We start from the raw sequence: 10,007 nt of genomic DNA, 5'->3' as shown, positions 1-10,007 counted from the left end.
AAATCATTTGTTACAGTGATCTAAAACCAATTTATTTACATCTTAGTATTAATCAGAGGACAAAAACTCTTACATTCCCTTGATTTTCAGAACTGGAGCCAGTGTTGCTATCTGGGGCAGGCAACAAGTTTTCATAACCCCATGATACTATGTGTTTGTCCCCAAGCAAACAGGAGGGAGATCCAGGCCCCCCTTCCGAAAGCAACAGCCAACTGGAGAGAAGGAAAATCAAAGATACTGAGACAATTCATTTTAGCAAGAAGTGTACCTGCCACCCCAAAGAGTAGAAACCACAATCTTAAAAGTAAGATGTATGTTTTTTTTTTTGAGACAGAGTCTTGCTCTGTCACCCAGTCTGGAGTGCAGTGGCACGATCTCGGCTCACTGCAACCTCCACCTCCCAGGTTCAAGCGATTCTCCTGCCTCAGCCTCCTGAGTAGCTGGGACTACAGGTGTGTGCCACCATGCCAGGCTAATTTTTTGTATTTTTTTTTAGTGGAGATGGCGTTTTACCGTGTTAGCCAGGATGGTCTCAATCTCCTGACCTCATGATCCGCCCACCTCGGGCTCCCAAAGTGCTGGGATCACAGGCATGAGCCACCGCACCCGGCCTATGATGTATAATATTTTGTATGAATATAATTCACGAAAGATATTCACAATATTTTTAAATAAAAAAATTACAAAGCCGTTTTTCTTAAAATGCTACAATAAAATTATATCTGTGTGTGTAAAATGTATCTATTGTATGTGTGCATTTGTGTGTATGTGACAGAAGGGGTTATGAATTAGGAAGCATATGTACCAAAACATTAGGAGTAGTTGTCTTTGGGTAATGAGATTATGAATGATTTTCACTTTATTCTTTATACCTTATCAATCACCATCTCAAAATTTACAATCAGAATTCAATATAAGCTATTGCATTATTTATTTATTTATTTATTTATTTATTTATTTATTTATTTATTTATTTAGTGTGGTGAGGTCTCACCCTGTCACTCACCCAGGCTGGAGTGTGCAGTGGTACAATCTCAACTCACTGCAACCTCGGCCTCCCAGGGTCAAGCAATCCTCCCACCTGAGCCTCCTGAGTAGCTGAGACCAATCAAAGTTAAGTTTTCTTCAGTTTAAAATAACTGATTATAATTATGTTGTTTAGCCTCATGGTAACCAGAAAACAAAAATCAATAATAGACACCCTAAAAATTAAAAGCAAGGAATTAAAACATACTACCTGAAAAAATTACCTCACTACAAATAAATACAGGAAGGAAGGGAAGGAGGAAAGAAGAGAAAGGAAGGAAAAAAGAAAGATCAGAGAGAAGAGAAAGAGGAAGGAAGCGAGAAAGAAAAGCAAAAAGAGTAGCAAAACAACCCGAAAACAAGCAAAAAATGGCAGTAGTATGTTTTTACCTGTTAGCAATAACCTTGAATATAAATGAATTAAATTCTCCAATTAAGACTGAGTGGCTGAATGGATTAAAAAACAAGACCCAATTATATACTGCCTATAAGAAACTCAGTTCACCTACAAAGACATACATAGACTGAAAGTGAAGGGATGGAAACAAAAAAGCAGGAATAGCTATACTTAGATAAAATACGCTGTCAGTCAAAAAAGGAAAAAAATGAAGATAATTACATCATGAGAAAGAAGTAAACAGCAGCATAACAATTATAAGCGCATATGCAACCAGCACTCAAGCAACTGAACACAGAAGCAAATATTAACAGACCTTAAAGGACAGATAGACTGCAATACAGTAATAGAGTACCTCAACGCTCCACTATAATCAACACTTCACTATCATCAATGGATAGATCATCCAGGCAACAAGACATCATCAGTTAAACTGTAATCTACACCGAATGGACCTAACATTTACACAGCTTTCCACTCTGCAACTGCACAATGCACATTCCACTGAGTAGCACATGGATTATTCTCCAGGAAAGACTATGTGTTAGGCCAAAAAACAAGTCATAGAACATTTTTAAAAACCGAAATCATATTAAGCATCTTTTCTGACCACAGTGGAATAGTACTAGAAATCAGTAACAGGAGGAACTTTAAAAACTATACAAATATATGGAAATTAAAATACATGCTCATGAACAACCAATAAATAAATGAAAAAGATAAAAAGGAAATTAAAAATTTATTGAAACAAATAAGAACAGAAACACAACATAACAAATCCCGTGGGATGCAGCAAAGGCAGACGTAAGAGGAAAAGTGCATAGCTATAAGTGCCTACATCAGAAAAGTAGAAAGATCTCAGTCAACCTGACAGTACACCTCAAGCAATGAGAAAAACAAGAAAAATAAAATGCTAAAATTAGTAGAAAAAATATCATAAAGATTAGAAAACAAATTTTAAAAATAGAAACAAAAAAATACCAAAAACCAATGGCATAAAGAGCTAGGATTTTTTTTTTTTAAATCAAAATTGATAAGCTTTAATTGGAAAGAAAAAGAAAATAAGATCATAGATGAAAAAGGAGACATTACAACTGATAACACAGATATATGAAGGATTGTAAGAGATTATTGAAAACACCTATATAAAAACAAATAGAAAAATCTAGGAGAAATGAACAAATTTCTGGACATACAACAAATTCACAAGATAGAATGATGAAGAAATAAAAAACCTGAACAGACCAATAATGAGTAATGTAATTAAAGCAGGAATAAAAAGTCTTCTGTCAAAGAAAAACACAAGAATCATTTTTTTTACTGCTGAATTCTATCAAAAATTTTTAAAAGAGCTAATATCAATTTTACTCAAAATATTCCCCAAAAAATGAAGAGGAAGGAAGGCTTTGAAACTTGTTCTATGAGGGAAGCATGACCCTGGTTCAAAAACCAGACCAGGACACAACACAAAAAGAAAACCACAGGCAAATATCCTTGATGAATACAGACGCAAAAAAATCCTCAATAAAATACTTGAAAATTGCATTTGACAACACAATAAAAAGATGATCTGCCATGATCAAGTGAGATTCATCCCAGGAATGTGAGGAGGATTCAATAAACACAAATAAATAGATGTGCGACATCACATTCAGCAAATCAAGAATAAAACCATATAATCTTTTCAGTAGATGCTGAAAAAAATAAAAATCAACATTCCTTCATGATAAAAACTGAACAACATGAGTACAAAACAACGTATCTCAGCGCAATAAAGGCCATATGGGACAAACCCACAGCTAACATCATAATCAATGGGGAAAAGTTAAAAGCTCTTCCTCTAAGACCTGGAACAAGTGTGGCTACTTTTACACCACTTTTATTCATCACAGTACTGGAAGTCCTAGGTAGGGCAATTAGGAGAATGCAATAAAAGACATCCAAATTAGAATAACGGAAGTCAGACTGTCTTTGTTTGCAGGGGACATGATCATATATATACATACACATATACACATACGCACATACATATATACACATATATACATACACACATGTATATATACATACATACATATATACATATATACACATATATATATAGAGAACCCTAAAGATTCCACAAAAAAACCGACTAGAAATTATAAATTTAGTTAAGTTGCAAGATACAATATCAATATATAAAAACTGGCACACACCCATGCACCAATAGTGAAATACCTAAGAAAAAAATCAAGAAATCTATTTCATTACCAAAAAAATGATATCTAGGGATAAACTTCACCAAAAAGACAAAAGATCCCACAATGAAAACTATAAAGCATAGATGAAAGATATTAAAGCAGACACAAGTAAATGGAAAAATATTCCATGTCCACGCACCCGAAGAATATTGTTAAAATATCTATATCACCCAATGTGATCTACAGAATCAATGCAATCCGTGTTAAATTACAAAAGACATTCTTCATAGAACTAGAAAAAAAATCCTGAAATTCACATGGAAATGCAAAATACCTCACATAGACAAAATAATCTGGAATAAAAAGAAAAGCTGGATTCATCACACTACCTGATTTCAAAATATACTACAAACCTATAGTAAGCCAGGTACTATCAAAACAGCATAAGACTATCAAAAAATGGGCGGGGGAGAGACCGAGAAATGAAGGAATGACAGAGACATAGACTAATGAAACAGAATGAGAAATCAGAAATAAATTCACGCATTTACAGTCAACTCATTTTTAACAAAGGCACCAAGAACACACATTCAGGAAGGACAATCTCTTCAATAAACTGTGCTAGGAAAACCCAACAGCCACATGTACAAGAATCCATCTAGGCCGTTATCTTACCATATACAAAAATCTACTCAAAATAAAAATTTAAAAGTAGGACCAGAAACCATGAAAGTACTAGAGACGAAGACAGGATAAACGCTTCATGAAATTGGTTAGGACAAGGGATTTTCAAATAGATATCAAAAGCACAAGCAACAAAAGCAAAAGTTTAATTACATTAAACTTGTCAAAGCACAAGCAACAAAACCAAAGATGTAATTACATTAAACTTAAAAGCTTCTGCAAAGCAGAGGAAGCAATCAGTAGAATGAGGAAGCAACCCAGAGAATGGAAGAAAGCATTTGCAAACTATGCATCAGCCAAGGGGTTAAGACACAAAATATATAAAGAACTCAAACTACTCAAAAGCAAAAATATAAACAATCTGATTTTTAAAAAATCTACCCAAAACCTTTGTCTCCCACCTTTATTTCCCCACCTTCTTTTCCCAACCGCCTTTGGCCCCCTCCCCCCTCACCACCCATTTTCTTCCTCCATCTAGCCCAAAACTTTTTCCCCACCGTCATTTCGCAAACCCTTCTCTACTCTCCCGCTCACCACCCTTTCCCCAACCGTCTACCTAAACACTTTCCCCACTGATTTTTCCCAGTCTTTTCCCCTTCTCTCTGGCCACCTTCTTTTTCCCCGTCCCACTCTCATCACCCTCTTTTGCTCCTTCATCTAAGTAAAAACATTTCCCCGTCTTTTCCCAAAGCCTTATCCCCACTCTTGCTGCTCACCACCCTCTTTTACCCCTTCATCTACCCAAAACTGTTCTCCTCACCGTCTTTCCCTCCGCTCCTCCTTGCCACCCTCTTTCCCTTCTCTAATCTACCCAAAAACATTTCCCCACCGTCTTTTCGCAAAGCCTTCTCCCCACTCCTGCTTACCTCCCTCTTTTCCCCCTCCATCTATCCCCCAAAATTTTCCCCACCGTATTTTCGTAAAGCCTTCTCCCCGGCTCCTGCTCACCTCGCTCTTTTCCCCCTCCATCTATCCTCCCAAATTTTCCCCACCGCCGTTTCACAAAGTCATCCCCTCTTCCCACTCGTTCTCTTCTTTGACCTGTCCTGCTTGCCACTCTCTTTTTTGCCCTCCATCTACTCCAAACTAAGTTCCCTTTTTTCCCAACCCTCTTTCCCCACTCCATCTACCCACTTTTTACCCACCGTCTTTTCTTTCTCCACCGTCTTTCTTTTCTGGCCGCTATCTTTTCGCAAAACCTTGTCTTCCTCCTAGCTACCCTCTTTTTCCTTCCCCAACTTGTTACCCTCTTTTCTCCCGTCTAACCAAAACCTTTCTCCCCATTTTTTTCACAAAACCTTCTCTCCCTACTGCTCACCCCCACTTCCCCCCCATCACCCTCTTTCCTCCTCCCACTTGCCACCCTCTTTTCCCCCTCCATCTACCCATAAACTTTTTAACCGCCGTCTTTCTGCAAAACCTTCCCTCCCTCCCGCTCCCCACCCTGTTTTTCCCCCTCCATCTACCCAAAATTTTTTTTTCCCACCATCTTTTTCCTATCGTCTTTTTGCAACGCCTTCTCCTGCTTGCTATCCTCTTTTCCCTTTGGCACTAACCACCCACTTTACTCCTAACCACCCGCTTTAACCCCCTCCATCTATCCCAAAACTATTTTCCTTCTCCTATCACTCCAGCCACGCTGCCGTCTCCGTTGCCGCCACCACCAACCGCAGCCAGGCGAGCCACGTTGTCGTGGCCCCACCATCCAGTGCACAGCCGCTGATAACCCATTCCTGGTTCTCTAAGCCGGGCAGTAAGCAGCTCTACATGAAGACACGTGAACTTGCAAGGGCCTGACTTCCCTTCAGCAGCATTCATATACTGAGGTTATATACAGGAGGATTCCTGGACTGCACGCTCTGATTGGATGAGAAGGAACCTCCGGGGTTACTCGGATTGGACTTTATTATCATGTTCTGATTGGATAAGAGCAAGCCTTAAGACAACCAATCACAGCATGAAAATAAAGTCCAATCAGAGTAGGCCTAAAGGTTTTTCTCTCATCCAATCAGAACATGTAGTCCAGGAACTGCGTGTGCCTTAACCTCGGCTATAAAGCATGCTGAGGCGGAGTCCCCTCGTTTCAGGCTCTTCAGTGTCAGTGCTCAGTATCTGCCTTAGAGAACTACGAGAAGGGGCTGCTAGCAGCCGCCATCCGGGGCACTGGGTGGCTGCAGGTGGTGGTGGCGATGGAACGGTAGGAGGGCGGCCAGCAGCGGGAGCTTCTCCTGCCGGGCAGGAGGACGAGTAGAAGGGAGAGGCACCACCACATGCTGGAGGCTGGAGCTTGCACCGCCGCAGCTCGCCTCACTGCAGTTGGAGGTGACGTTGGACACTACAGCTTGGCCAGAGTGGTAGAAATGTTGTTGCATAGGTGAGTTATCCGGGGCTGCACTGTCTGTCTCTGGGGGCAGGGGTTGGGTGTCCAATTGTGGCTCACTGCCCGAGGCTGCTCTGCCTGTGGTAGGGGGCTGGTTGGGGGCACTCTCCAGGGTTGCATTGCTGGCGGTGGGGAGGGTTGGCTGCCTAACCAGGGGGCTACATTGCCCGCGGTGGTGGGGGTGTTTGGGGGAGGCAAGTTGTGTGCACTAATGTGTACTGTCGGTGGCGGGGGACGGGTTAGGGGCGCTATTTTCTGCTGCACTGGCTGCGGCAGGGGGTGGGTGGGGTGGTTATCCGGAGCTCCAATGCTGGTAGTGGGGGTGGTTTAGGGGCGTTGTTGGGTGTTGCACTGCCCTTGGGGCGTGCTATCAGGAGCTGCGCTGACCTTGGTGGGGCACGTGTGAGGGACTGGTTTGGGGCACTATCTAGTGCAACAACACCCATGGCTGGGTCAGGTCGTGGGCACTATCCAGTGCTACACTGCCTGGGTGGAGGTGCTTTGGGGGAATACTGGGGTTACACTGCCTGCAAACTGGTACGGGGTGTGTTGGGTGTGCTATCCAGGAGATACACCTCCAGCAGCAGGGGGCAGGTTAGGGGTGCTGTCGGGGGTACACTGTCAGCGGCGTTGGTGGGCTGCAGAGGTGGCAGTGACAGTGACAGCAGTGGTCTCCTTCTGGTGACCATTCTCCTCTTCCCAACTCCAGACTCTAGTGGATAACCTCCTCCTGTTCGTGCACTCTCGAACATGGCAGGGCCCCCACACCAACAGCGGTTCCCTGGCCCATGCCCCCATGCTCTGTGTTGCAGAGACCACCTGGGACTACTGGGCAGGGAGTAGTGGGCATCACGGGGGACAGTGGGGACAGGGCACTGAGGGTGGAGGTGTCAGGAATGGGAACCAGCACTTGTGTGGGGATGGCTGGCTGGGTCTGAGTTTCTCCTACTCCTGCTCTGTCAGCCCTGGTGGGCCCAGCAATTTGTGGCCAGCTGCACTTGGCTGGGGGTGGTTTCAGCGAAGGCACTTACACTCACCCCAAGTCCCAGTTTCTGGCCAGCTTTTGCCAGAAGGAGAGGCTGGACTTTGGCGGGTGGGTGTGAGTGCCTTCACTAAAACTGGTCCCTGCCACCCAGTGGCCAGCGTGACAAGGTGAGACACTAACGCTACCACTCCCTGCATCCCCTTCTAAGCTATTCTGGCTTTGCCTGCTTAGCTGCTCCAAGCCAGGCTGGAGGAGGAGAAGGAGGAGTCACCTGTGGTACACTGGAGCCTGCGTATGTAGTGGCTCTGCAGTTTATCTCATGCTATTGTTGACAGTGTTGGAGACTGCAGCTCGACCAGAGTGCTAGGAGGGTGCCCACAGGGGCAAGGTGGTAGGAACCTTGTAGGGTGGGCTGCTGTATCGAAGGTGACAGTGGTTGTATTGGCATCAGTGCTAGTCGTGGTAGCAGCAGCAAGTCTGGGGGCCGGGAAGGGAGAGTAGGAGTGCTGCAGGGCCCAGCCAACCTGGGGTGGGGAGGAACCTGCGGGTGCTGTACTGTGGGCCTCAGTAACAGTGGTGGAGGCACACCTAGGGAAAGTAGGAGTCCTCCCACTTCTTCAGCAATCTCTGGAGGGTGCTCTCCTCCTGCTGGTGACTGTGGTGTGAGTGGCAGCATTGTCTCATTCTTAACAAAATTAGGGGGTTGACAGTGTAACTTTTTTGCTTCTGTTTTGTCGTGATAGTCTTGGACTTTTTCAAATTTCATGAATTGGGGAGGGGATAAAAGGTATCATAATAGGCCTTCTAATTCCCATGCCTGTTCTTTTCTCTTTCTTCCAGTTTGTGTTTTCTTCTTTTCATCATCTTGTTCATCAATTTTTTTTTGATGCCGCCTTTATTTCATGTTTCTATTCTTGTTTCTCCTCTTTTTGTTTTCTTTATGCCCAGACAACAAATCAAAACTGAGTTAAAAAGAAACTACTTTCACTGTGTTGTATTTTTAAAACAACAGGTCCCTTACTATGTTTTAGAGATGAGGAAAAAAATCGGTCGTGTAGTTACTTGAATAGCTATGCTTTCATGATCGTGTTAACCCACTTATGCTTAGCGTTCCATTATTGGAACGCTAAGCATGAGAGAGTTACTTGTATCCTACTACTCAGGGTCATCGACAAGGTCTGATTTTTCACTCATGCAAAAATTCAAAAAATTGCAGCCTCTGGCATAAATGGGTTAATGTGTTTTACGTAGTTATTCAAGGAATCAAAAAATGAAGCATCACATAGAATATTGGTAGCAAACAGCCATTTCATCTGTTCCACGTATTTGTCTGGAGCTATGCAAGAGTCACGGGGGTAATATGTTCTAATTTATGAGATTATTAAGTGAACTGTATTCCGTTCATTTTATTTCTCTGCCATCATTTTCTTGCCCAGGCTGGAATGCAATGGGGCGATCTCGGCACACTGCAATCTCCACCTCCCAGGTTCAAGAGATTCTCCTGCCTCAGCCTCCTGAGTAGCTGGGATTACAGGCATGTACCAGCATGCCCAGCTAATTTTGTACTTTTAGTAGGGAGGGGGTTTCTCCATGTTGGTCAGGCTGGCCTTGAACTACCTACCTCAGGTGATCCACCCGCCTCAGCCTCCCAAAGTGCTGGGATTACAGGTGTGAGCCACTGCGCCCAGCTCTCTGCCACCATTTTCAACAGTGTTGTCATCTGCATGAGCAAACCTGGTTCATCACCACCTCTTTGCAAGAGAAAAAGGAAGTGGGGAGAATCTGTGTGTAATTTTTTTCTTTTTGAAAACGAAGTCTCGCTCGTGTACCCCAGACTGGAGTATGATGGCACGAACTCGGCTCACTGCGACCCCCCACCTCCCGGGTTCAAGCAATTCTCCTGCCTTGGCCCCCTGAGTAGCTGGGATTACAGGTGCCTGCTGCCACGCCCAGTTAATTTTTCTATTTTCAGTAGAGATGGAGTTTCACTGTGTTGGCCAGGCTGGTCTAGAACACCTGACCTCAGGTGATCCACCTGCCTCAGCCTCCCAAAGTGCTGGGGTTACAGGTGTGAGCCATGGCGTCCGGCTGTATATAATGTTTTAAGGCAAAGAATCACAAACAAAACAAGGCTTTAATAACTTTTGCTTCAAAGAACCTGTGGTGTTGAGCCCTCTTTTATTCTTAGTATTACTACCTTTGATGTGAACTCTTTTTTTTATTATTATTATTATGTTTTTGGTGATGAGTCCTCTAGTTTATGCATTTTCTTGACTGCTATAAGACAATCTATATTGTATCGTTTTTCAGAAATGTGTAAGGCCTATAATTTGGACACTTTTTAGTTATTTT

The 10,007-nt window shown here is 43.2% G+C and overlaps 1 long non-coding RNA gene across 1 annotated transcript in view; it reads left to right on the top strand.

Moving 5' to 3' along the window:
- Window positions 1-6,359: 6,359 nt before the first annotated feature.
- LOC107984132 (uncharacterized) overlaps window positions 6,360-10,007 on the top strand; it is a 44,250-nt gene continuing 40,602 nt past the window's right edge. The window contains exon 1 of the long non-coding RNA NR_146902.1: window positions 6,360-6,664. This is a non-coding gene — a long non-coding RNA (uncharacterized LOC107984132). The remainder of the gene's footprint in view (window positions 6,665-10,007) is intronic.

This window comes from Homo sapiens, chromosome 13 (assembly GCF_000001405.40).
Source record: "Homo sapiens chromosome 13, GRCh38.p14 Primary Assembly".
NCBI lineage: Eukaryota > Metazoa > Chordata > Mammalia > Primates > Hominidae > Homo > Homo sapiens.
This window is presented reverse-complemented; position numbering and strand designations above follow the sequence as displayed.